The 27,459-nt window shown below is 46.9% G+C and overlaps 1 long non-coding RNA gene across 2 annotated transcripts, besides 6 other annotated features; it reads left to right on the forward strand.

Annotated features, from left to right (window-relative positions):
* Window positions 298-1,497: an enhancer, noted in NCBI's record as "P300/CBP strongly-dependent group 1 enhancer chr12:116965601-116966800 (GRCh37/hg19 assembly coordinates)". NCBI's record gives its function as "activates an origin of replication core promoter dependent on BRD2, BRD4, P300/CBP, MED14 and CDK7 cofactors, with strong dependence on P300/CBP, by STARR-seq in HCT116 cells {active_cell/tissue: HCT116}" and the evidence as "EXISTENCE:reporter gene assay evidence [ECO:0000049][PMID:35650434]".
* Window positions 5,748-5,949: a silencer, noted in NCBI's record as "fragment chr12:116971051-116971252 (GRCh37/hg19 assembly coordinates)". NCBI's record gives its function as "represses an EF-1alpha promoter that drives an FKBP-Casp9 reporter gene in an ReSE screen in K562 erythroleukemia cells {active_cell/tissue: K562}" and the evidence as "EXISTENCE:reporter gene assay evidence [ECO:0000049][PMID:32094911]".
* Window positions 5,854-5,903: a silencer, noted in NCBI's record as "silent region_4903". NCBI's record gives its function as "represses an Ori minimal core promoter by ATAC-STARR-seq in GM12878 lymphoblastoid cells {active_cell/tissue: GM12878}" and the evidence as "EXISTENCE:reporter gene assay evidence [ECO:0000049][PMID:35858748]".
* LINC00173 (long intergenic non-protein coding RNA 173) lies at window positions 5,924-9,015 on the forward strand. 2 transcript variants are annotated; one of them, NR_027346.1, is made up of 3 exons: window positions 5,937-6,118; window positions 8,622-8,713; window positions 8,855-9,015. It is a non-coding gene; the product is annotated as a long intergenic non-protein coding RNA 173 (long non-coding RNA). The 2 variants fall into 2 exon arrangements; NR_027345.1 differs by lacking the exons at window positions 8,622-8,713; window positions 8,855-9,015 and adding an exon at window positions 6,468-8,023 and having other exon boundaries at window positions 5,924-5,964.
* Window positions 7,312-7,846: an enhancer, noted in NCBI's record as "H3K27ac-H3K4me1 hESC enhancer chr12:116972615-116973149 (GRCh37/hg19 assembly coordinates)". NCBI's record gives its function as "activates a minimal SCP1, AML or CMV promoter by ChIP-STARR-seq in naive H9 embryonic stem cells {active_cell/tissue: H9 hESC(naive)}" and the evidence as "EXISTENCE:reporter gene assay evidence [ECO:0000049][PMID:30033119]".
* Window positions 9,887-10,116: an enhancer, noted in NCBI's record as "active region_7093". NCBI's record gives its function as "activates an Ori minimal core promoter by ATAC-STARR-seq in GM12878 lymphoblastoid cells {active_cell/tissue: GM12878}" and the evidence as "EXISTENCE:reporter gene assay evidence [ECO:0000049][PMID:35858748]".
* Window positions 12,542-13,042: an enhancer, noted in NCBI's record as "H3K27ac hESC enhancer chr12:116977845-116978345 (GRCh37/hg19 assembly coordinates)". NCBI's record gives its function as "activates a minimal SCP1, AML or CMV promoter by ChIP-STARR-seq in naive H9 embryonic stem cells {active_cell/tissue: H9 hESC(naive)}" and the evidence as "EXISTENCE:reporter gene assay evidence [ECO:0000049][PMID:30033119]".

Consider the following 27,459-nt stretch of genomic DNA (forward strand, 5'->3'; position numbering starts at 1 on the left):
CATTTACCCCTAAAACCAATAAAGTCAGATCCTTCCATAAAAGAATTATGACACCACCAGATTCGTCCCCTGCACTTTCTCTTCTTGGACTGTCTCTTCTTAGTCTCCCTTGGAACTGGATTTGTCTTTTCTTGTTCAAGAATCTATACTGGCTCCCAGTTGCCTATCATATCTAATGTGCCTTCCTCTCCTTGGCTTTCAAAAAATACACAGTCTGTGCACAGCCTACAAATCTCTCTGACATGCATCCCAGCACACAGCAGTGGAAATCCTCCATTCCAGCGAGGCTGTTTCCTCTCTGCCCCGACTTCCCTTCAGACCTTTACATGTGGTTCCCTCATGGAGTGCCCCTTCCTGTTCCTTTTATGATATCTCAATCCTCCTGATGTCATAAAGTTTCCAATTGGAGCCAAATTTAAGTTGGTTTTGAATAGAACATCCAAAACAAGGACTTACTCCAGGAAAAAAAAAATTTACTCATATTTCCAGACTCAAAACAAACTCTGTGATTCTCTTGGTTAATTTCCTTCCAGTCTTTTTTCTTTGGAGATCTGAGCAGAATTTTAAAGGAGGAACTCCACAACTTACATAGCCATCACCTTTGGTTGGTTGGACATGGAGGTTGCTTCTAATCTTTCACCGTAATCTACATGTCATGACGAACATCCTGTAACTAAATCTTTTTATATGTCTTTAATTATTTCCTTGGGCTAAATTCCTAACAGGTGAATCATCAGGATTAAAGGCTCTTTGATGATGGGGGTGTAGGGTTGGAGGAAGAGGAACCACGCTGTGATCTAAATCCTTCTGTGAGTCCATGGGGCACACTGAGTGAGAAAGTGACAACCTCCATCTTTTTCTTTGGGAACTGGCCGGTTGAGTGGGTGTCCCAGCACCTTTGCATCCCTGCCTATCATTTTTCTGCCCAACATCAAGTTTCTAAGACTTCTAGAAGGTTCTTCAAAGGCAATAGGTAATGGAAAATGAACAGCCAGCATAGCTTTAGTCAGTGGCAACATTTGCCATGCAGTGGCTGAGGATTCTGGAGCTGAGACTCTGCTGAGTCTGTCCCCTCCATTATCCCCACCCCCAAACACCCCCATCCCCCACTCTTGGGTTGATGGACTATGGCACTTGGACAGACACATGTGATTGACTGTGGTATTAAGAAAATATGTATGACACAATGTTTTTTAGCTTTTTCCAGAGATATTTATATCACACAAATGGCATGTTGGTTTCTTTTTTTTTTTTCCATCTCAACCACTAAGAATGAATAAATCAATTGTCTTAATCAGGCTAATGGAGAGTGCATGGGCTAGAAACATAGGTGGGAGGGGCTCTTCATCTGAGCCTGTTGCTCCATTAGCAGGGGTAGAGGGGCCTGGCAAAGTCCCGTCATTATCTCTGGGCCTCTGTTTCCCTGTCCTTGGGATGGGCATCTGACCACTCATGACTTTGCAGGATAAAGATTGTCAGAAGCATTTGGAGTTCCTTGGAAGAAAGTAGCTGCATGAATTTTTAATCCTCTATTTTCAGCTCTTTGGAGCCGTGTGTAGGAGCAGGGCTGTAAACACAGAGAACTCACCGCTACATTCTAGTTTATAAGGTTTTTGTCTCACACAATCCCACAGACCTGACCTTAAGAACAACTCAAAATGTGGGCGAAAAGCAGTTTGTTGTGGTCGTCGTTATCACATAAAAATTAATGGCTTGGCAAACACAAGGATCATCCTGTCACGCTGAGGTCATGTTTACACCAAGCAAATATATTTCAAGGTTCCTAGAGTTTCAGCAGCACTGCAAGGCAGAATCAACACAATTCCCAAGCAAGACTCAGAATCCGGTGCCAGATTCACCCTGGTTCCAGAGGGAGACATTAGTGAGTATTAATTCTGCAATTAGAATGCCATCCGTTTCCAAATTCCTTATGGCTGAAGCAGGTTTTTTTGTTTTTGAGACAGAGTTTTTGCTCTGTCGCCCAGGCTGGAGTGCAATGGTGCAATCTCGGCTCACTGCAACCTCCATCTCCCGGGTTCAAGTGATTCTCCTGCCTCAGCCTCCTGAGTAGCTGGGACTACAGGTGCCCACCATCACGCCCAGCTAATTTTTGTATTTTTAGTAGAGATGAGATTTCACCATGTTGGCCAGGCTGGTCTTGAACTCTTGACCTCAGGTGATCCACCCACCTTGGATTCCCAAAGTGCTAGGATTACAGGCATGAGCCACAGTGCCCAGCCTGAAGCAGGTTTTTTAGTTCCTAACTTATTGAGGCCTGCTAGTGCCACTGATCAGTGAAAAAAAGAAAAGGAAAATTCATAAGGTCATAGGATCCACACTTGGATCTCATTCATTGCTTATGCATTAATTCACCAAATATTTATTGAAGTGGGCCAGGGCCTGAGATTCTCCCCGAGGCTTACATGTGGTTAACATCTTAGAACTGGGGCTGGGTGCGGTGGCTCAGGCCTGTAATCCCAGTGCTTTGGGAGGTTGAGGCAGGAGGACTGCTTGAGGTTAGGAGTACCAGACCAGTCTGGGCAACATAGTGAGACTCCATCTCTACAAAAAAATTAAAATAAAAATAAATTAACCAAGCATGGTCGTGTGTTCCTGTAGTCCCAGCTACTTGGGAGGCTGAGGGGGGAAGATGTTATGAGCCCCGGAGGTCAAGGCTGCAGTAGCTATGATTGTGTCACTGCACTCCCCAAAGTCTCTACCAGGGACTGTGCTAAGTGCTGGGGACACAGTGGGTGGCAAAAGCAGAATGGTCCCTTCCTAGGGGAAGGCTGTAGTCAGGTCAAGAAGATGGACATTAATCAGTAATTGCAAAAGGAAATGTAAAATTACAACCAAATTCGGAGCTGTGAAAGGAAGGCTGGGGGACAGATCATTGTCAGAGGAGGATCTGAGGTAGCCTTGGGGTACAAGTGGACAGAACCCAGTGGGAGGATGGGAAGGAGGAAGGCACTGCGTAAGCCAAGGTCCATGGTAGGACGGAGGGGCAATTTGGGGATATGAAAGTCCAGAGTAGCAAGAAGGAAGGGGAGAGAAGTATAAGATGGATCTAGTCTATGGCCATATGGACCCTGAACTCACCCCATCTCATCTAAAAGATGGAGCTAGGCACACCCACTGGGATGGCAAACATTATTATTGTTACTATTATTTTGAGACAGAGTGTTGCTCTGTTGCCCAGGCTGGAGTGCAGTGGCACAATCTCGGCTCACTGCAATCTCCATCTCCCAGGGTCAAGCAAATTCTCCTGCCTCAGCCTCCCAAGTAGCTGGGACTACAGGCACACGCTACCACGCCCAGCTAATTTTTGTATTTTTAGTAAAGACGGGGCTTCACCATATTGGTCAAGCTGGTCTCGAACTCCTGACCTCAGGCAATCCACCCCGCTTGGCCTCCCAGAGTGCTGGGATTACAGGCGTGAGCCACTGTGCCCGGCGCAAACTTTTTTTTTTAACAGAAAATAACAAGTGTTGGTTGGCAAGGATGTAAAAAATTGGAGCCCTGGTGCACTGCTGGTGAAAATGTAAAATGGGCAGTCACTGAGGAAAATAGTGTGGCGGTTCTTTGACAAGCTAAACACAGAGTTACTGCAGAACCTAGCAGTTCCATTCCTAAGTATGTACCCCAAACAATTGAAAACAAAGGTTCAGGCCAGGCGCGGTGGCTCACACCTGTAATCCCAGCACTTTGGGAGGCCAAGGCAGGGGAATCAGGAGTTGAGGTCCTGACTGAGGTCAGGAGTTCGAGACCAGCCTGGCCAACGTGACAAAACCCCTTCTCTACCGAAAATACAAAAATTAGCCAGGCGTGATGGCGCACTCCTGTAATCCCAGCTACTCGGGGGGCTGAGGCAGGAGAATCGCTTGAACCCGGGAGGCAGAGGTTGCAGTGAGCCGAGATTGCGCCACTGAATTCCAGCCTGGGGAACAGAGGGAGACTCTGTCTCCAAAACATAAATAGATAGATAGATAAATAAACAAATAAATAAATGCAAATATTCAAATGAAAACTTACCCACAATTGTTCATAGAGCACTATTCACAATAGCCAAAAGGTGGAAACAACCCAAATGACCCCTAGCCAGTGAATGGATCAACAAAATGTGGTCCATCCAGGCAATGGAACAGCACTGAGCCATAAGAAGAAAGGAAGCACTGGCATGCGCTACAGCATGGATGAGCCTTGAACACATGATGCTGAGTGGGAGAAGCAGACACAAAGATTATATATCGTAGGATTCCACTTACATGAAATATCCAGAACAGGCAATCCATAGAGACAGAGAGCAGATTGGCAGCTGCCAGGGGCCAACGGGAGGGAAGAATGGGAAGTGACTGCTAATGGGTACCGAGATTCTGTTTGGGGTGATGGAAAACTTCTGGACCTGGCCAGGCATGGTGGCTCACCCCTGTAATCCCAGCAGTCTGGGAGGCCAAGGTGGGTGGATCACCTGAGGTCAGGAGTTCAAGACCAGCTTGGCCAACATGGTGAAACCCTGTCTCTACTAAAAATACAAAAATTAGCCAGGCGTGGTGGCAGGCACCTGTAATCCCAGCTACTCGGGAGGCTGAGGCAGGAGAATCACTTGAACCTGGGAGACAGAGGTTACAGTGAGCCAAGATCATGCCACTGCACTCCATCCTGGATGACAGAATGAGACTCTGCCTCCAAAAAACAAAACAAAACAAACAAATAAAAAAAAAAAAAAGATGGTGGCAGCTCACACCTGTAATCCCAGCAACTGGGGAAGCTAAGGCAAGAGGTGTGGCAGCTCACACCTGTAATCCCCAGCAACTGGGGAAGCTTGAGGCCAGGAGTTCAAGACTAGTCTGGGCAACATGATGAGATTTGATCTCTACAGAAATAAAAATAAAAATTAGCTGGGCATGGGGGCAAGCACCTGTGGTCCCAGCTACTCAAGAAGCTGAGGCAGGAGGATTGCTTGTGTCCAGGAATTCAAGGCTGCAGTGAGCTACGATCACACTGCTGCACTCCAGCCTGGGCAACAGAGGGAGACCATGTCTTTAAAAAAAAAAAAAAAAAAAAAAAAAAGATGGCGCTAGAGAGACAGTTGATACAGGGTATGGATGGTGACCATCATTGATCATCATGGCTGCTGGTGGGTAGTGGATGGGAGTGAGAACAGCATTAAGAGGAAGGCCAGTGATGAGGCGGGGACAGTGGTCCAGGAGGAAGATGCAGGTGGCCTGGACCAGGGGGCACACAGTGAGCCACGTGTGTCAGGCAAAACCAAGAGGGCTTAGTGAGGATCTGGATGCACAATCATTCAATATAGACTCAACTCTGCCCCTCCTATTCAGCACCTGTATGCACTTATGGATGGGAGGAGAGTGTTGGAGGGAGAAAGTATATGTTCTCATAGGGATGCTGAAGAACAGGTCAGAAGACCCCTGGCTTCAAATTTTGACTTTTTCATTGCCAGATCCCGAGAGAGTAACTTCGTTTCTTTGTGCCTGTGTTCCTTCCCCTGTAAAATCAAGGCCCCAACATGCACTTCATAGGTCGTTGTGAGACGGGGACAACAGCACCTGCCCTGGCTACCTCCTAGGGCTCTTGGGAGACCCAAATGAGTTGTTAATCCTTCAAGGACAACACAGATCACGTTGCTGGGCTGATGTCATTGCTTTTGGAAAGCAGGTCCCTTGAACAGATTCTCCCAAAGCAGTGACTTTAGGAACATCTCGAAGGCGACAGATTCCAGTTGTTAAGGCTACGATGAAATAGCAGAAGACTCTGGGAAGCAGCGTGCAACGAGTGGCAAAGGAGCCCCTAACGCTCTTTCTTCTGTGCTCGCCCCGCCCCCTCCGGCGTGGGCCCCGCCCCGACTAAGCCCCAGCCAGGCCCCGCCCCCGATGTTAGCGCAAGCCACGCCTCCTCAGCTCCCAGCCTTCTGGGTCCGAGGCTCCCACCTGCTCTAAGCGCTTGGTACCAGGGAGGGAATGGGAGGACGCTTGCGGGATAGGGAGGCGGGGGCTGGAAATTGGCAGGGTGAGAGCTGGGGAAACTAGTCTGGGACGCAGCCCTCCTTGTCCCCCTTCTTCATTCACCCCCTTGTTGAGGCCCTTGGCTTTTGCATAATGTAAGTACTTATTTAATGCGTGTGCTGGCTCGAGAGCTCTGCATTTGTCTTTCTGTCCTTCATATGCCAGTGTACCTCCGCCTTCTGTCTGTCTAGGTGGGAGCTCCTGGAGAGGAGGGTGCTTCCCAGCAGTTGCTGTTCGACCCCCAGCCCCGGGCCAAGGGCACAGAGAGAGAGACAGAGAGGCTGGGGCTGCAGTGGGGGTGGGGAGGTGGGAGCTGGGGCGGGGCGGAGGGAGCGAGGGGGAGGAATGAGAGCACCATATGACAGGCTTGTGGAACCACATCTGATGCCAACTTGGATGCTGTCCTTTTTCTCCAATAAAAGGAACTTTTCACTTGTTTTTCAGACACCCTTTAAAAAAATGTATTTAAAGAGGCTGGTTCCTATCCATCCGACTGGAGGCATCTCAGTGCAAGAGCAAAGCTAAGTCCTGCACACGCTCCTCCCCTCCTCCTCCTCCTTCTCCCCCCAGGTTTTCCCGAATGTATCTACTCCGGTTACAACTAGACGCGGCCCCTCCCCCACCTGCCTCCCCCCTTCCTTCCCTCGATCGTGGAGGGAGCGTTCTCTGTGCCTTCCCAAGTCCCCGTGGGGGACCTTCTATGTTGGAGTGGGGGGAGGGGGGGAGGGTCATATAACGAAGGCCAGAAAGAACAAATTAGATAATCAAAAGAATTATAGTAATTGCTTTCACTTTCCCCCGCCCGCTCAGCGGATTCCCTCCCCCGCCCCTCCCCTGGTTTTTCTGTCTGTCGGGAATACTCGGTCTTTCCGACCCCCTCCCCTCCCCCAGGTTCCTCCTCTCCTCTCCCCTTGCTCGCGCGTTCCCTCTCTTCCTCCGTTTTCTGGTGTGCTGGAACGTTCAGCGGAATATGATGAATGATCACCTGTCACAGCTTGTTTATTATAATGCAGGCAATCAATTACACATCCCCAATGCTGGCCGGCCCGCAGGAAATTTATATGCTCAGCACAAACCAATGTGAAAATGGAATCTCATTTGCCAAATGTCTTTCTCCCCGTACAGCACGATGATTACAGTCTGTGTTTGTTTCAACAGTCGTGTACAACTGACAGTGCCATCATTTACTGCCTGGCTCAGGTCACGTTACTCTAAGGCTTTATTTATGGTGTTACGAAGGGCAGCACAGGAAAAGGACAAGGGTGTCTGTCAGGGATGGCACTGTGTTAAAAAGTGGGCGTGCAAGGGCCGCATTCCCGGGCAGCCGCTGCAACCTCAGCCCCTGGGCCCTTACCTCCGCAGCCTCTCCCAGCATCCAGCTACCCAGACTCCAAGGCCCCAGGCGAGAGCCAGCTCTCGGTACCTGGAGCTCCACAGGTCCCAGAATCGGGGTGGATCAGAGTTCAAATTCTGGTTCTGCTACTGTCTAATTGCGTGCTGCAGGGACTCAATCTCTTCATCTGGGAAATGGGAGTAATAACCCTTGGCAGGAATGTTGCGATCCTCTGGGATGTCAGAGGTGTTGATGAATGTTAGTTCCCGGGACTTCGGAAAGAGGTCCCGTTGGAAGAGATGTGAATTGGAATTCACACCCTATATTAAAATCTCCTCCAATCTTCACCTCTGAGACATGGCTGTCTCAAGACTGTTTTGTTTCCCTTCCTGGTGGAATTTTGCACTTTTATGTCCTGTGTAGCAGCAGGTAGTGTGGCTTTGAGAAAATAAAATGGCCACCTTGCTCCGCTGTTCTTTCTTTGTAAAAAAAAAAAAAAAAAAAAAAAAACGGCATAGCAATCTTGGCCTTTCTAGCTGTGTGACCCCAGGCCGGTCAATCCCTCCTCCTCTCCAAGCCTCGGATTCCTCCCCTGAGAAGTAAAGAAAATAACTCCTAAACTGCCTCCCGAGGCTTGCTGGCAGGATCCAAGGTGTCCAGAGATGTTAAAAAAAAAAAAAAAAAAAAAAAAAAGCCCAGTAAATGGGAAAGTGAGGCTGTCACTGCTGAGTGGCATCCTGTTTTCAGGAGTTCTGGTTGGTCCCCAGAGTTCTGCTACACAAAATGTTGACCCAAATTTGTACCCCCACAACACTTGGTGTCAAGTGGGAGCTCAGAAACTGAGGGGCAGGCAGATGCTTTTATGTGTATTAGGTTGTCTTTTATTGTATTGTATAGTTCCTTTTTTTTTTTTTTTTTTTGAGATGGAGTCTTGCTCTATTGCCCAGGATGGAGTACAGTGGCACGATCTTGGCTCACTGCAACCTCCACCTCCTGGGTTCAAGCAATTCTCCTGCCTCAGCCTCTCAAGTAGCTGGGATTACAGGCACGTACCACCATGCCTGGCTAATTTTTGTAATTTTAGTAGAGACAGGTTTTCACCGTGTTGGCCAGGCTGGTCTCGAACTCCTGACCTCAACTGATCCACCCACCTCAGCCTCCCAAAGTGCTGGGATTACAGGCTTGAGCCACCGTGCCCAGCCTGTACTATATATTTCTTTATTATTTGACACGTGTATTTGTTTAATGGCCCTCTGCTCCACCAGTATGGAAGCTCCAAAAGGAAAGATACCAGATTGATCTTGATCACCTCTGCCTCCCCAGCACCTAGTCTTCCTTGGCACATCGTGAGTGCTCGGTAAATATCTGTGGCTTTAATGGATGAATGAATGAATGACTACATGGCTAAACTCCATTCTAGGGCAACATCTGTGGTGCAGTGGATGGGCCCTAGTGAATGGATATTTAACGGATATCGTACTATTCCTCATCTCCACAGGGTCAGGCTGTGCCACATCCACCCAGCCTTGCCTGGGGTCATTTATCCTACATGTACTCAGATCACGTGAACTGGTGATGGGCCACCCATGTGCCTGCCTGGAGACTCCTATTCACCCTTCAGATCAATATCCCCCAAATAAACTCCCAGTCACTCTGGCATCCCATGTTGCTTTGTGATCTCTGCCTCTCTCTAGACCATTTGGCTCCTATGCACAGGCAGCTATGTCTTTTTCATATTTGGGTCCCCAAAATGCACAGTGCGGTGCCTGCCTCAAAACAAATGCTTTTCAATCCGTCAATCAATCAGTTGACATGGATCATCTTTTCTCAGCACTGATGTATGGACTACAACTTGGAATTCCATTAAAGCTCCTGGGGTCAAGAAAAAAAGTGATTCAAGTTTATTTATTTATTTTTTTTTGAGACAGAGTCTCATTCTGTCGCCCAGGCTGGAGTGCAGTGGCACGATCTTGGCTCACTGCAACCTCTGCCTCTGGGGTTCAAGTGATTCTCACTCATGCCTCAGCCTCCCAAGTAGCTGGGCAAGAGCCAGCACACCCGGGCTAATTTTTGTATTTTTAGTAGGGACGGGCTTTCGCCATGTTGGCCAGACTGGTCTCGAACTCCTGGCTTCAAGTGATCTGCCCACTTCAGCCTCCCAAAGTGCTGGGATTACAGGCATTTAATCACTGCACCCGGGTGAGCCACTGCACCCGGCCAAGTTCATATTCTAAAAGTGAAACATTAATGCTGCATTGTGTATTTTTTGGTCAAGTGCTTCAGATGTGTGGAAGGAATTTCTTTGTATAAATGCAATTATTCGTCACCATGATGATAATTATAACGAGGGTGACTGCACAGAACTGTGCCTCCCCAGCAAGCATGGGCTGGGCAGGGCCGGGTATTCCCTTCGCTGACTTGCTTCACTAGTTGACTAACAGACCTTATTCCCGGGCCTGAGCTGATGATATCCTGCCAATGCCAGCTTCCCAACATGGAGGGGACGCAAGAGCGAGCGCCATGGGATCCTGGGGGAAAAGCAGCCTGTGTTTGCTGCTGCTTTGACAGTTGAGGCTCTGAGAGGGACTGGCAAACAATGGGAAATGAAACATTTGAGTGGTTGCAAAAAATTCCATGGGAAATCCCCCCTGGTGGTATTTATGTGCGACGGCTGTGACAAGGAGAGCGCAGGGCTTTCGATTTCAAGGGTTCCTGAGCAGACCACAATGGCCTTCCAAGATGGCAATCCCCGGGAACAGCTCTCTCGGCCACAAAAGGCCAGTTTGTCTGTCCAGGGAAGATCTGGCCCCATGCATCAAGTTGGCCATGAGCTGCAGTGTCTTCTTTGGGGCATGACCCACATTTATAGGGTCTGGGCCTCTGAACCTTCTGCTCCTAAGACAGATCTATCTCAGTTGTCCCTCTGGTTTTCCCAGGCCTCAAGGACCTGGGGGCTGATAGGGGCTGAGGGGTTTCCCTCGGGCTCAGCCTCCATCTGCAGAACTGTGGGAACCTCAGCCTCCATCAGACCCCTCCCCATTTTCTGGTCAGCACGTGGCCTCCTCCTGTTTCCTCCATTCCCGTTGGTAATGGACATTTATTTAACTTTTACTCCCCCTCCATTCTCATTTAGAAAAGAAAGTGAACTGATATTAACCAATCTTTGTTTTGCCTTCTTTAACACTAATGCATATGCAAAATAGTTACCACTATTGATAATATCTTATTGCTGCTGTGATATATGTGTGTATATGTACAGATCTGCTTGAAGGTAAGCTTTATATAGATTTTTAGAGATACTTGGTAAATGAGAAAATGGAAACTGAAAGAGGTTAAATAAACTGCCCATGTGTATTGGTCATGAGGTTTCAGTTGCAAAGTGACAAAATCCTGACTTAGATGAACTTAAACCGGATGGAAAATGTACATTGTATTATTTGAGAAGCAAGGTCTGGATAAGCTTCAGGCATGGCTGGATCCAGGCCCTCAGTTAAGTCTTTAGGAATTTCCCTCTCTCTAGCTTTTTGGCTTTGCTTTTCCCTGTATTGGTTTCATGTTTAGATTGGCTCACTTCACCTGTTTTACATCTTTCCAGAGTCAAATCCAGCCTTTTTCCTGGTTGCCTCCATAAAAGTCCCAGGGTTAGGTTTAGTGTGCTCTGATAGATTCAGCTGCCCATTGCTGAAGCAGTGACTCTGGCAACAGGGATGGACTGATCTAAGTGCCCAGGTTCCAGTCACTGCTGAAGCCCAGCCAGACCACCTGGACACAGTAAGAGTGAGTGGTTCCCCCAAAGAAAACTGGGGTGCTCTTACCAGAAGAAGGAGGAATCGACAAAAAGACCTGATGTCCTAAACTCCCGTGTCACACTGTCACTAATGGGCAGGCAGACCCATACAGCAGCTCCTCTGCATCTTCATGCTGCTAGAGACCACCACCGGGACCACCTCCCTCCTCCATGCTCTATCCTGCCCTGTGCCTCCAGCCCCGCCCCTGCTGCAGGAATTCACTCTAGTCAGTAGTTTTCAAAATGTGCGGGAAGGAGGAAGCCAGTGGAAGAGAGCAGGTGGCTGGGTGACCTGTGGCTATGGGATTCCCCTCCTCTATTTCAACCATCCAGCAATTCTTGTGTCTCTTTGTAGATTCAGTTTCCTTGTACACTTTTATTTAAACAAAGGACACCCCAGATTTTTTAAACTTGCAAATCAGCAATTTTTCTGGAATCTATGTCTACTTACCCTAAATTAAGGAACAATAGCTCAGAAAGAGGCAGGAAACTGACAACACGTCAAATGAGTGCCAAGGGGATCTGAGAAACCACACCTCCCGATTCCCATCTCTTGCCCTTTGCACCCACGGCCTTGCAGATGGGGTCAAGATTTGTGGGCTTCTGATTTATTGGCCAAGGATGCAGACCTTAACATGTAAGTGGAGCAGCTTCCCAGAAAAGAGAAGGAAGAGGATACCTTTGCACAGTTTTTTTCTAGTCTCTGGGTTCTGTGCCCCCAGGGCAGGCAGCCTCTGGGGACTCCCTGTAGGTAGGATCCTGCCAGAATGGAGAAAAACATCCCAATTCCTGTTATTCCCTCCTGGTCCTGGGAGCTTACATCACCATTCCAGGAGAACTTACATGAGCAAGCCATGTCATGCTTCCGTTTAGGAGGATGTTTACAAACCACTATTCTGTCCTCTGAGTGTCTGGAAAGCTGGTGTCTGTGTACCAGGCCCTGCAATGCATTTCAAACACAGCTTTCTGCTGCACTGATCAGTGCTAATCCTCATAGGTAACCTTTCTGAGCACTTCCAGCATTCCTGGAACTGTGTGCTAAGTGCTTGACATGTATCATTTCATTGAATCTTCCCAACAACCCAATACCATAGGTAGCAGTATTATTTTCATTTTATAGCTGCAAATAAACGAAGGTGCAGAAAGGTGAATGAATTTGTCTGAGGTCCATCAGCCAGGTTCAAACCCAGGCAATCAGAGTCAAGAGAATGAACTAGATGCTACGGTACATTGCTACGCTTAGACGCACCAGGAAAGCTCTGGACGAGGAAGATGTAGGTTGTTGCCAGCACCTATGCACGGACAGACAGAAAGTCCTCTGCTTCCTTCAGGCCCTTGCTTCCACTTCCCCGGGGCTTCCAGCTGAGCCTGCATTTTTCTTTGACTTCCCCCTCTTGCCTGGCGTTTTCAGCAAACACACACAGAGGATTACGGGGAGAAAACTATCATATTACCAAGTGGACATGGCTCCTAAGGTGCCAACTGAACACAGGTAAGTCGGGTAAGGAAAGGCACACAGTCTCATTACTTAGACTACCCCGCAGCCGCTTATTGAATTAGTGTGATTCTTAACATCTTCAACTTGGATCTCCTCCAGGCCAGCCGGCTGGTGCATTCAGTACGACTCAGCTCGCCTTAACTCAATTAACAAAGCCAGGCTGAGCCGGGCTGAGCTGAACTCAACAAGTTTTTCTTAAGCACTGAGCTGGCTGCAGAGGGGAAAAAAAAGCAACAAAGGAGAGCAAGACGCTGCCTTGGCCCTTTAAGAGTTGCCTTGCGCGCTTAGTGGATAATACGGTGCCGTATTTTCTAAGTATCACCTTGGTGGTTTTTGCCATACCTGCACTCCCTCTGTGCTATTATTTACTTCATATTTTTCTTTAAACAAATTCACTTCCTTTTTCAAACTTATTTTTTTTAATTATTGAGGTGAAGTTGACATACCATAAAATTAACCATTTGAAAGTGAATTCTTAGAGCATGATGCTCATCTGAAGAAAAAAGTAAAAATAAAGTGAATTCAGTGGCATTTAGTACTTTATAGCGTTATGTGACCATCACCTTTATCTAACTCCAAGACATTTTCATTACGTCAAAATGAAACTCCATAACCTTTAAGTAGTCACGCCCCATTCCCTTCTCCCCGACAACCCCTGGTAACCATCAAACTGCTTTCTGTTTCTGTGGATTTATCTATTCCGGATGTTTCATGTAAGTGGAATCCTACAGTATCCTTGTGGTTCTGGCTTATTTTACTTAGCATAATATCTTTAAGGTCCATCCATGTTGTAGCATGAATCAGTGCTTCATTCCTTTTCATGACTGAATAATATTCCATTGTGTGGATAAACACAACTTGTTTACCCACCCACCCATTCATTGATGGACATTTGAGCATTTCCATCTTTTGGCTATTGTGATTAGTTAAGTAAGTTTAGTTTAGTTTAGTTTTTAAGATGGAGTCTTGCTCTGTCTTCCAGGCTGTAGTGCAGTGGCATGATTTTGGCTCACCACAACCTCCACCTCCTGGGTTCAAGCAATCCTCCTACCTCAGCCTCCCAAGCAGCTGGGATTACAAGTGTGTGCCCCCATGCCTGACTAATTTTTGTATTTTTAGTAGAGATGGGATTCCTCCATGTTGGCCAGGCTGGTCTCAAACTCCTGACCTCAAGTGATCCACCTGCCTCGGCCTCCCAAAGTACAGGGATTACAGGCATGAGCCACCGTGCCTGGCCCAAATAAGTTTACTTTAAAAGGAAATTCTACATCACTACAGTAAACGGGAAGCCAATATTTTTATAATACACAATACAATACCTACATAACTATTAGAAGGACAAATTTCATCTTTGTAGGTCATAAAAATCATCCTGTGAACTATCAGATGCAATCGTAAAAAGGCTGGGCTCAGGGAGTGGTCGGACTTGAGTTCAAATCCTGACTTTGCCATCTGTGTGACTCTGGGCAAGTGTCCTGTCCTCCCTGAACCTCAGTTTCTTTATTTGTAAAATGATAAGACTTAATATTCCTTCCTCTTGTAGTGGTTATGGGAATTAAGATCATGAGTGGCCTGGCAGAGTGGCTGCCACCTGTGATCCCAGCACTTTGGGAGGTCAAAGCAGGAGGATGGCTTGAGGCCAGGAATTCAAGACCAGCCTGGGCAACATAGCAAGACCCCATCTCTACAAAAAGTTTAAAAAATTAACTGCGTGTGGTGGCACACACCTGTGGTCCCAGCTACTCGGGAGGCTAAAGTGAGAGGATCACTTGAACCCAGGACTTTGAGGCTGCAGTAAGCTATGATCGTGCCACTTCACTCCAGCCTGGGCTTAATAGGGCAAGACCCCATCTCTAAAAAATAATATTTTAAATAAATAAATAAAACCATGTGTAAAGTGTTAGAACCATGCCAGGTACATAGCAAGCCCTTCGAAACACAAAAGCTGGTAGGTAAAACTACAGGTCATACACCCACTAGCGGTCAATATATTAGCAGCTAACAAAGTAAATATTTGTTGTGTGCCAGAAACTGGGTGAAGCACCTTCCAGGTGTTATGTCATCTTCTCAGGGTTCTAAGAGGCAAATATTATTATCCCCATTTCATAGATTGGAGAACAGAGGCAAAGAGAGGTGGAGCCAGTAGTCAAACATTCATGAAAGTTTAGGCCGGGCATGGTGGTTCACGTCTGTAATCCCAGCACTTTGGGAGGCCGAGGTGGGTCGATCACCTGAGGCCAGGAGTTCGAGACCAGTCTGACCAACATAGTGAGACCCTGTCTCTACTAAAAATGCAAAAATTAGCCAGATGTGGTGGTGTGTAGTCTTAGCTACTCGGGAAGCTGAGGCAGGAGAATTGCTTGAACCCAGGAGGCAGAGGTCGCAGTGAGCTGAGATCATGCCACTGCATTCCAGCCTGGGCGACAGAGCGAGACCCTGTCTTGAAAAAAAAAAAAAGTTCATAAAAGTTCATACAGTGCAGGACTTGAACTCCAGGAAAGTTAAACGACAGTATGAGAAGTAACTAAGAATCACCTCCGGTGGAAAGTGGCCCCGGGGCAGGGGTGATTCATCGCAAAATGGCTTCCTGAGCCCCTGAGGTCCAGCCTGGGCAGTGGCAGTGCGCGGCAATCCTGGCCCAGTGGCTCTGTCCTTCTTGGATTCCTTCCAGCAATGTCTCTTTATCAAGTCGCTCTTCCTCGGGTCTGCCAAGACTAGTCTCCCTGAGAGACTGCTCTCAGCCTTCACATCTTTTCTAGTTGATATCCCTCTAGCAGTTAATGGCTTCACCTGCCCTTCCTGTATTCCATCACCCAAAGACAAATCCAGTGTCCCTAAAACCTCACCTGTGCTCTGCAATCTCTCTCACTAGTTCCACGCTGCATCTGAGCCCTCGAGACTGCCATACAGCCTCTTACTAATTATCCACCCTGGTGCAAAAATTAGCACGTCTCAGGTTCACATGTATCCATTATACCTTCACCGATAGGGATGCAGTCTGCATAATTCACAGTTTTAGTCTGCATGGGGAATCCTGTCTCACCCATTGGCAACACTAGCATGGGGGTTGTATTACTCTTCTAGGGCTGTTGTAACTAATCACACAAACTTCGGGGGTTAAAACAACAGAAATTTATTTTCTCATGGTTCTGGAGGCTGGAAGTCTGAAATCAAGGTGCAGGCAGGGCCAAGCTCCTTCTGAAGGCTCTAGGGGACAATCCCTCCTTGCCTTTTCCAGCTTCTAGTGGCTCCTAGAATTATATTATTATTTATTTTTTGAGACAGAGTCTCACTCTGTTGCCAAGGCTGGAGTGCAGTGGCGCAATCTCAGCTCACTGCGACTTCTGCCTCCCAGATTCAATTGATTCTCCTGCCTCAGCCTCTTGAGTAGTTGGGACTACAGGCATGTGCCACTACACCCAGCTAATATTTGTATTTTTAGTGGAGACAGGATTTCGCCATGTTGGCCAGGCTGGTCTCGAAATCCCAACCTCAAGTGACCTGCCCGCCTCGGCCTCCCAAAGTGCTGGGATTACAGGCATGAGCCACCGCACCCGGCTGGCCCCTAGAATTCTTTGGTTGGTGGCTGCATACCTCCAGTCTCTGCTCTGTCTTCACATGACCTGCCTCATGCATTTTTGTGTGTCCTTTTCTGTCCCTCATAGGACACTTGCCACTGGATTTAAGGCCTGTCCTCATTCAGGATGATCTCATCTTGAACCTGGCCTAATTACATCTGCAAAAACCCTATTTCCTAATAAGATGACATTCTGAGATTCTGAGTGGATATGAATTTTAGGGGACAGTTTTCAACCCCCTGGATGGGGCTTCACAGAGAAGAGGTGCCTGGTAGTCTTTGTAACTGGCTTATTGTATATTTCAACACCCTGGACACACACATAAAAGGGTTCTTCTCTCAAGACAATTGTCAATGACATTCTTGCCAATCTCCTTTTCCCAGTCCTTTGTGGCATCATGAACAGATCCTGTAACTTTCTGGCCACTTCCCAATATTGAAAAGGCCAAGCCAGAGAGTCTGGCTCTGTCGCCCCGGCTGGAGTGCTGTGGCGTGATCTCAGCTCACTGCAACCTCTGCCTCCTGGGTTCAAGTGGTTCTGCTGCCTCAGCCACCTGAGTAGCTGGGACTACAGGCAAGTGCCACCATGCCCAGCTAATTTTTGTATTTTTAGTAAAGCCGATGTTTTGCCATGTTGGCCAGGCTGGTCTTGAACTCCTGGCCTCAAGTGATCTACCCACCTCAGCCTCCCAAAGTGCTGGGATTACAGGTGTGAGCCACCATGTCCGGCTGCCAGTTTACTTTAAAACAGCCACCTAGTCCCCATCTCCTAACTCAGGTTTGACGCACAGCCTGAGGAAACTGGAGAGGACCTGGCCACCTTTTGCTTCCTTCTCCCCGTGTTTCTGGCTCCCAAAGTACACCAAGGAGGAGGATTTCATGGGCAAACAAATTTGGCCAATGCTGCATTAAACCAAGTTACCCAGATGTCTCTACTTCAGGGTCAGTTGATGTGTGAATGTTCATCCAAGAACAGGTGGTTTCCAAACTTCTTCAGCCCAGGACACTATTTTTCCACAGAGCGTCCTACCTCCCTAGTGTTCCCCAGAGCACACTTTGTGAAACACCACACAATAAAAAGTACTGCCAAATATAAAGTATATCCACAACTATTACGTTTGCATAGCAATAGAAGATGAGTTTTTGAGTAAACACAGCAACTGTGGAACAGTTTTGTGATTTATTCAGAAAACTGGCTCCAAGATCGCTGTGGACAAGACCCAACTTGGCTGGGAGATTGTAATCCCTCAGTAGAGCCACGTGGACAGTGAAGCTGGCCGAAGTTTACTCTGAGAAAGGATCAGAGACTGAAATTGCTCTGATTTTCCTAAACCCAGCTTCTGTAGTCAGGAAGAGGTAACTGTCATATTTAAAGGCAAGTACTTTCAGGAAAAATTTGCATGATAGTGTGGTCCTATAAGTTATGCAATTCTATTATGCAAATTCAATGATAGGGACTCGGCAGATGATAATAATAATAATATAATAATAAGAGAAAAGATAGAATTAACAAATGCAAGTGGCAAGCAAAGCCTCGCCTTCTTCTCCTGGTGTAGATCTCGGATCCACCCAGTAATCTCTGCTCCCAAGGGCCTCTCAGCCTCAAGCATGAGTCTAGTATTTAAATATCTGTTGTTTTCGTATCCTACGACTTCTAAAAGCCGACCAACTTCAGCTGGTCCTCAGCTGGACAATTGGCAACCTCTTCTGATGCTGGAGAAAACCAGGCTGCCCTGGACTGATGGGGAGAAATTGACCAGCTCCCAACTTAGTGTCTTTCTAAGGATTTCCAAGGATAATTTCTGACCATTGTCTGTTCTCCCTAGAAGCTTTTTTTTTTTTTTTTTTTTTTTTGAGGCAGAAATCACACCACTGGAGTCCAGTGACTCGATCTCTGCTCACTGCAGTCTGTGCCTCCCAGGTTCAAGCAGTCCTCTCACCTCAGCCTCCCGAGTAGCTGAGACTACAGGCATGCACCATCATGCCCAACTAATTTTTGTATTTTTGGTAGAGACATGGTTTCGCCACATTGCGCAGGCTGCTCTCCAACTCCTGGCCTCAAGTGATCAGCTCCCCAGACCTCTCAAAGTGCTAGGAATACAGGCATGAGCCACTGCACCGGCCACCCCAGGAGTTTATCGAGTCACACGACCATGCCATTGAGGCTCCCCTGTAGTCTCAAAACTGAATTGAATCTAGTTTTGTCCATATAATCAAGGAGAATATTTTCTGAAAGCCAGGATTAACCCAACAATTGGATATCACGGGGGCCATCGAGGTGATAAGATGTGAGGAAAGTCAACCAAGCTCACTCCATGCCCCATTCCCAAACTCCCCCATACATACACAAGATAGCCTAGAGAAAAAAAGTTGATCTGACTGTGTTATCAGAAAGGGGTGGTATTACTCAGCAGTCTAGCCGGGATAGGTTTATCCATGTAGCTAACAGGCTGCCAAAGACCAGAGGGGATTTGAAAAGCAGTGTGGGGGCGGGGGGTTGGGGGCAGATATGGAGCCTGTACTCCACCTCTCCAGCTTTCTCCTCCTGCATAACAATTCCCACTGCCCACGGAATGATGCCCAAACTCCAGGCCCTTTGTATGCGTCTCCAGCCCTCATGAGCTGAGACCATCCCTGACCCTAAGGCAGGGTCTGGTTCTCAGTCATCTACCATTCTGCCCAGCCCTGAGCACAGATTTTGGCAGATAAGCCAGAGCTCAATGGATGAAGGTCAAATGAGTGAAAAAGGAACCCACATAAAACTCAGGTACCCTGTGCTCCAGTCTCAGCACTGCGTTATGTCAAAAATAAAATAATTTTTTGGGGGGCCAGGTGGGGTGGCTCATGCCTGCAATCCCAGCACTTTGGGAGGCAAAGGTGGGCAGATCACTTGAGGTCAGGAGTTCAAGCACCAGCCTGGCCAACAAGGTGAAACCTCGTCTCTACTAAAAATACAAAAATTAGCCAGGTGTGGTGGCGTGCGCCTGTAATCCCAGCTACTAGGGAGGCTGAGGCGGGAGAATTGCTTGAACCTGGGAGGCAGAGGTTGCAGTGAGCCAAGATGGTGCCAGTGCACTCCAGCACTCCAGCCTGGGAGACAGAGCAAGACTCTGTCTCAAAAAAAAAAAAAAAAAAAAAAAAATATATATATATATATATATATACACACACATATACATATACATATACATATATATATACATATACATATATATATACATATATATATACATATACATATATATATACATATATATATATATATATATAAACTGAAGAGCACTTGAAATCTTTACATTTCTCTGGGAACACCAAAAAAAAAAATTCCAATTTATATAAAGTAAAGCAAAACTTTTGAATGTTTAGATCTCACCTCCATGGCAGTTGGCTCCAAAATCTCTATTAAATTCCTTCAAACTCTCCTTCAGATCTCACTTCTCTCTTCCCCTTCCAAATATAACTTCCACTATTTCCTGGGAGTGCAGGGAGGCTGGTTAAGCACACGGGCTTCGGGGCACAACTTGCTGAGTTTAAATTTAGTCCTGTCACTGTCTAACTTGGGCAGGTACTTGGCCCATGGTAAGCACTCAATAAATGTAATCCATTGTTGTTAGTTATTAGTATTCTTCAAATTCTGTTGGCTTCTCCAATATTTTTTTTCACTTAGCCCACTTTTCCATCCATGCAGCAAGGAAAGTGTATTCATTTCCCAGGGGTGCCATAAGAAATCATCACAAACTTGGGGGCTTAAAACCACAGAAATCGATGTCCCCACAGTTCTGGAGGCCAGAAGTCCAAAATCAAGGTAGCGGCGGGGCCACGCCCCCTCCAAAGGCTCTCCCGGAGATTCAGTTCCTCGCCTCCTCCAGCCTCTGGTGGCTTTTAGCATTCCTTGGGTCGTGGCTGCGTCGCCCCAATCCCTGCCTCTGTCTCCACGTGGCCTTCCCCTGGCCTCTCTTGTCTGTGTCTCTTCCAAAGACACTTGTCGCGTTGGAGTTAAGGCCCACCCAGATAATCTGGGATGATCTCATTTCGAGAACCGTAACTTAATTACATCTGCAAAGACCATTTTCCCAAATAAGTTCTTATTCACAGATTCTGAGGAAGGGTGGTTGTACATGGATATATTTGTGGGGGTGCATTTATCCCGCTACAAATGACACTGGGTCCTTCTACTTGTGGATGGTGGGTGGGGAGAGGGTTGAACACTCCTGTAATTCTTTCTTTTTTTTTTTTTTCCTTTTCTCCTTGTCATGCTGAATATATCGAGTCAGCAGCCAGCATCAGGTACCTGGGAATGAGGAAGGAAAGACAGGCAGATGGCAAAGGGGCCTGTCAACTTCTCCTTTTCACTGACACTCACGCCACTCTTTGATTTACAACCACAGAATACCTAACTGCAAGAACTGCCGCATCCCTGGTGGTCTGACCTTGTCTCTGAGCTAAGCAGCAGATTTCAGCCACAGCGTCTGACTCTCAGGCAGACACATCCTGTCCAAGGACTGGAGACAGAGCATCCGTTCTCCCACCCAGAGCGGTCAGCTGCATGTGGCTGGTTGGGGGGCGGTTCAGGTTAGTTAGTTATTGATATCCTGTGTTAAGATTCCTGCCTTGGCGGCACTGAAGGGATCCGGGAGGCAGTGACTTCACTCACTCGACTCAAATTGCAATCAGCCAGCCTCTTGGCTCAGGCATTCATCTACCCAGAACTATTTTTGGTGTGTGTTCATAGACAGCACACACCAAAGTATTTGGTATTTGAGATGCAAGCACTAAGGATGATTAAAGTTAGTTGCTAATGAGCATGCCTAGAATAGATATACTCTGTGTGTATGCGTGTGTGTGTGCGCGCGCTCCATGTGTGTGCTCTGTTGCGTGTCTACAAAGCAGATGTCTACACACCTGCCCTTAGGTGACCTCACCAATGTCCATGAACTGGTGCTGCTAGATCAGCTAAGAGGTCCCTGGACGGAAGACGGAAATGGATAACAATTGACCTGTCTCAAAATACTGCCTTACTGGGTACCCATGCTCCCCCATCAGAATCCAATCTACCTTTCAACGTCTAGCTCAGCCCATCTTACCAGGAAGCCTCACTTGACCACCTTCTGAACTTAGACCAAGGCTAGAAAATATGTTTTATCTCGAGTTCCTTGGTTTGTGTCTGCATCACTCCAACCTCTGGTTCCATCTTTACACAGCTGTCTTCCCTCTGTGTCTGTGTCCTCACATGGCCTTATCCTCTGTGTGTGTGTCTGTATTCAAATCTCCCTCTCCAGCTGGGCACGGTGGCTCATGCCTGTAATCCCAGCACTCTGGGAGAGCAAGGCAGGCAGATCACTTGAGGTCAGGAGTTCGAGACCAGCCTGGCCAACATGGTGAAACCCCATCTGTACTAAAAATACAAAAAATTAGCTGGGTGGGGTGGCGAGTGCCTATAATCCCAGCTACTTGGGAGACTGAGGCAGGAGAATCGCTTGAACCCATGGGGCAGAGGTTGCAGTGAGCCAAGATTGCTCCACTGCACTCCAGCCTGGGCCACAAAACTCTGTCTCAATAATATAAAAATAATAATAAAATTTAAAACATCTCCCTCTCCTTATAAGGACACCAGCCATTGGATTAAGGTCCATCCTCATGACCTCATCTTCACTTGATTACATTGGAAAAACCACATTCATAGGTACCAGGGGTTAGGATTTTAACTTATCTTTTGATGGGACAGGGGGTGGGGGTAGTGGGGAAGACACAATTCGACCCATAATGGATGCCATAAATAATTAGGGATATCCAGCATTGGTGAGGGAAGGGAAAGGGCCACCTATCTGCTAAATCTGCTCTATCATGTTTAATTTTGGTATCATTTAGTTGGAAATGAGCACCACCTGCTATGACAATTGGTTATTTCTCTCTCTCTCTCTAATCCTCTAATCTACCTATCTTCCTACCTGCATGCCTACCTATCTATCTATTCTCTATCCTCTATGTATAATCTATCATCCGTATCCATTTATTTACCTTCTTAAATAGATTGAAAGTTCCACGAGGGCAGGGATTGTCATTTACACCCCTTGTAAATTTCTCCACTGGCTAAGCCAGGATCTAGACAGATGTAGTAGGCACTCAATAAATACTTTTTCAGTCACTAATTTTCATTGTTTGGACTCTGAAATTAAATCAGGAAGAGGTCTCTGACACACAATCCTCTAGGGACTTCTGAGGATAGAGTTGGCTCATTCACAGCTTGCCCACCTGCACTCTGTCTTCCCGGCTCCCCTCAATGTTCAACAGATCTCGTCTACCAAATCTTATGTGTGTACTGGGGTGTCTCCCGCTAATAGGACAGCCCTGTAATTGTTCAGTGAGATTATAACGTCAGCCTCATCCATCAAGCTCTCCGCTAAGTAGTTTGGTTTTCCTAATGGAAAGCAGTGTCCTAAACAAGAAGGGAAGCGTCCTAATGTGGGGTTTTATGTAGGTTGGTTTCTAGCTGTGAGCTATGGACCTGAAATGATAGTTAAATCGATGGAGAGGCACTAAGCTATAGCCTGTGAATCTGGGCATCCGTAAAACCCAATTATTAACAGCCCTGAGTGGATGCGTTGCACGCTGGCTCTCCCAGCTTTGACTGGGGCTCTCTCTCTCTCTCTCCAGACAGAAACGGCCCAAGAGAAATGGAAATATGATGGCTGGTTGATTGTTTCGCAGTCTGCATGACAGACCACCCTCCTAACAAGACTCTAGGTCAAGTGCTCTTCTCTGCCCTGTGGATCTACTGGGGAGAAATTAGCTCTCGGTGGTATTTCCAATTATGGAGAAAAGCGATTCCTCCCTGGTCTGGCTATCATGTGTTTTGCAGTGGACCAAGAGACATGAAGCCCGTTTTCCACCCTCGCCTCTTTCTCCATCTAGCTGCATGACCTTGGGAGGTGGCGTGACCTCTCGGCTTCTTTGCTGCCTCATCTGTCATGATCCACCTTTACTACTTCATAGCCATGTTCTAGGATAAATGAGAGAAGCCTCTACATCTTTTAGTCTCCCAGAAAGACTGGAACCAGGTAAATGCAAAGTGGAGCCGTTTCCTTTGTTTTTGCTGCCTGAGTTACTAACGTGTGGGATTTTTTTTAATAATGGCAAAAATGGATGGATTTATGCAATTACTTTTGTTTTTGTTTTGTTTTGTTTTATTTTTCCTCTGGGGGGAGTCTTGAGGCATTCTAGGCATTCTATACATTATTCTCTTGTATAATTGTTCATCTCTTCTATGGAGTGGATATTGGTATGCCCCTTTCTTAGCAAACTGATGGAGGCTGGCCTCAAAGTGAGCCACAGTGATGGGCTATAACTAATTCCTACTCATAACTCCTAACTAAGTTTAATGTCTGTCTTCCCTACCAGTGATGAGTTCCATGAAGACAAAGACCTGTTTATCTTGTTCTGCTCCAGCACCGAGCAGGTACTCAGTAAGAACTTGTAGAATTAGTGGATGGATGGATAGATGAACAGATGAATGGATGGATTAACAGATTAATAGATGGATGGATAGACAGAGGGATAGATGGATGGATGATGGATGGGTAAGTGGGTGGATGATAGACAGATGGTTATGATAGAGGGATGGCTGATTGGATGAATAGATGGATGGATAGATGGATGGATGAACAGATGGATGGGTGGATAGATGGACAGACGAATGGATGGATGGATGGATAAAATGATGCATGATAGATGGATGGATGAAAATGGAAGGAATGGCTGGATGGATGAACAGAAGGATGGATGAATGGATAGATGAATGGGTGAATATAGTTTGTATATGAACATGAATCACATTACCAGTACTTATCACTGAGAGAAAGTTCTAAGTTGCAGATGTTCAGAGAAATTTAAAGATGCAGACCTAAGATACAGGCCAGAAGGGCCATGCTGTCTCTAAGTCCCTGGGTAGAATCCTTCCTTGCTTCTTCCTAGCTTCCAATGGTGGCCATAAATTCTTGGTGTTCCATGGCTTGTAGCTGTGTCTCTTCACTCTCTGCTTCCATCACCACATGGCCTTTCTCCCTGTGTGCCTCTGTCCGCTCATTGTTTTCCCTCTTCTTAGAAAGACACCAGTCATATTGGATCAAGGGCCCACTCTACTCCAGTATGACCTCCTCTTAACTAATTATATCTGCAATGACCCTGTTTCCCAACAAAGTCACATTCTGAGGTGTTGGGAATTTGGACGTCAACATATCTTTGGCAGGGGACACAATCCAACCCATAACAATCTGTGACATGGCAACCCCTCTCCCGGGTGTGTATCCTGGGGAAACTCCTGAATAGGATCATAAGAGGACGTGTGTGAGAATGTTGGTGGTGGCCAAGTTTGTCCCAGCAAGGAGCCCAAGGTGACCTACATGTCTATGACTGGAGGAAATGAGTCAGCCAGATTTGAAACATGCAGATGATGAAATAATACACAATACCCTGAATTTGCATACATCATCATGGATAGAGCTTAAAAATACAGTGTGAAATGAAAAAAGTAGGAACTAGACTGAGATTGATGACACAATACCATGGACATAAATTTAAAATATACACTCACAGAGCAAGACTATATATGTTTCATAAGCATTGGAAAGTGGGTTGGAAGGATTTATTTTGAAGATACTGGAGTCACTGCCTGTGGGAGGCAGTGAGAAATGCTAACAGCAGACGCAGGCGAAAAATAATACAAGAAGGCACAAGGAGGGCCTTGAACAGACAAATAGTGAATGTGTGGCATAAACTGAGAAGTGTGATTCTACGAAGGCGCCCACCCGGGGTCCAAATTTTGCAAAGAGGGGAGGAATCAGGAAAGGGATTAATGAGTGACAGTGGCGCCCAGGGCTGGGCGGAGTCCAGGTTCTGTGAGCATGCGCAGCAGGGCCCCTTGATCCACGCTGAGCTTCAAGAAAGAGTGCGGAGAAAACCGCCCTAAGCCCAGACGTGGAGGGGAATTGGAGCTGTGCAAGTCAAGAATTAAGCAGGCAGGGCCGAGCAGAAGGAACGGATGGTTAATAAGCCCCCAGGAGAGCCCAGGCTGGACCAAGTGCATCCGCCTGGGGAGAAGGAGAAGGGTACGGTCCGCATGGCCCCGCTGAGGAAGGAGTGGGGACAGGGCTGGCTGTGTGTGTGTCACCCACTCAGACGCCCACAGGGACCAGGTGGCGGAAATGAGCGAATGACCCAGGCGCATACTAAACACTTCCACAAATAATGATGGGCCTTTCTATATTTAAGAAACCCAGGGCCCCCCCAAGTCTCTATTTCTTTTCCTCCCTTTTGATGGAGACACGGGGGCTGGCTTCTTCTCTAAGAAAAACAATAGCGGCGTGTGATGAGAAGTGGTAGCCAACTCAGCCATGGGGGAGACATCAGAGGGGTAGGGCTTGGGGAGGACAGGAAAGGGACGTCCCAGCTCCATGGGAGGGCTGCTGCCTGGTAGCTTCAGAGGATGCCTCCGCCCGAATGTGGTCCCGATGTTGACAGATACTTCCTTTTCCAAGAGAAACTGTGAAACTGGATTTTTATTGGAAATCTTTTTATTTGACATAGTAAAATCTAACTGAACGACAATGAGGTACCACATCACACGCACTAGGATAGCTATAATAAAATAGAATGGAAAATACGAAATTTTGATGAGGAAGTGGAGCAGTTGGAACCCTTGTACATTGCTGGTAGGAAAGTAAGGTGACCCACTCACTGTGGAAAAGTTTGGAGGTTCCTCAGGAAGTTAAACATAGCCTTATCATATAACCCAGCAATTCCACTCCTAGGTATATGCCCAAAAGAATTGAAAGCAGGTACTCTACATGAAGACAAGTACATCTACATGCATGTTCCTAGCAGCGCAGTTCATGATCACCAGGAGGTGGAAACAACCCAAATGTCTGTCATCATGTATGCTGCAATGTAACTGAATCTTGAAAAGGTTATGCCAAGTGAATGAAGCCAGACACTAAAAGTCATACATTGTATGATTCCATTTATATGAAATGTCCAGAATAGGCAAATCCATAGACGGACAGCTGACGAGAGGGTTGCCAGGAGTTGGAGGGATGAGGGTATGGGAGTGAATAAGTGCTGGGTAATGGGTTTCCTTTTGGAGTAGTGAAAGTGTTTTGGAACCAGATAGAGGCGATGGTTACACAAGATTGTGAATATTCTAAATGCCACTGAATTGTTCACTTTAAAATGCTGAATTTTTGCCAGGCACAGTGGCTCATGCCTGTTATCCCAGAACTTTGGGAGGCCGAGGCAGAAGGATCACTTGAGGTCAGGAGTTTGAGACCAGCCTGGCCAACATGGTGAAACCCCATCTCTACTAAAAATACAAAAATTAGCCAGGCATGGTGGTACATGCCTGTAATCCCAGCTACTCAGGAGGCTGAGGCAGGAAAATCTCTTGAACCCAGGAGGTGGAGGTTGCAGTGAGCCAAGATCGCGTCACTACACTCCAGCCTGGGTGACAGAGTGAGAGTTGGTCTTAAAAAAAAAAAAAAAGAAAAACAAAACAAAAACAAACAAACAATGCTTAATTTTTGCCAGGTGCAGTGGCTTATGCCTGTTATCCCAGAACTTTGGGAGGCTGAGTCAGGAGGATCACTTGAGGCCAGTTCAAGACCAGCCTGGGAAACATAGCAAGAGCCTGTCTCTATTGGGAGAAAAAAAAAAAAAAGGTAATAAATAAAATGCTTAATTTTATATTATGTCGATTTCACCTCAATTTTTAAAAAACTGGAAAATGTAATTCAAATATATAAGGAAAAACATGTCAGCCAAATGGATTCAGGCTGTAGGCTGCATCTGAACCCCTGGGGTGCCAGTTTCTAAGTTTGATATGGGGCTTACAGTCAGCAGGAGCCCCATAATCTTGTACAGAGCTGTAGGAATAGGAACTGTTTTACTGGCAGGGAAACTGAGACTCCAAGGAGGTAAAGTGATGGGATCAGAGTCAAGCGCAGGAGCTGGAGCTGAGCCCCAGAGGGTGATCTCCCAGCACAATTGATCCTGTGCTCTCTGCAGTTGGGGCCAAGGGCTGTAGAAAGCATTAGAAAGGTGGCAGCTATTGAAGCAGGTGGCAGAAGGAGGATGCCTGGAAGTTCAGACAAGAACTGTGCATCGAAGCCAGGCACGGTGGCTCGTGCCTGTAATCCCAGCACTTTGGGAGGCTGAGGTGAGTGGATCACTTGAGGTCAGGAGTTTAAGACC

The sequence above is a fragment of the Homo sapiens genome, chromosome 12 (assembly GCF_000001405.40).
Source record: "Homo sapiens chromosome 12, GRCh38.p14 Primary Assembly".
NCBI classification, from domain to species: domain Eukaryota; kingdom Metazoa; phylum Chordata; class Mammalia; order Primates; family Hominidae; genus Homo; species Homo sapiens.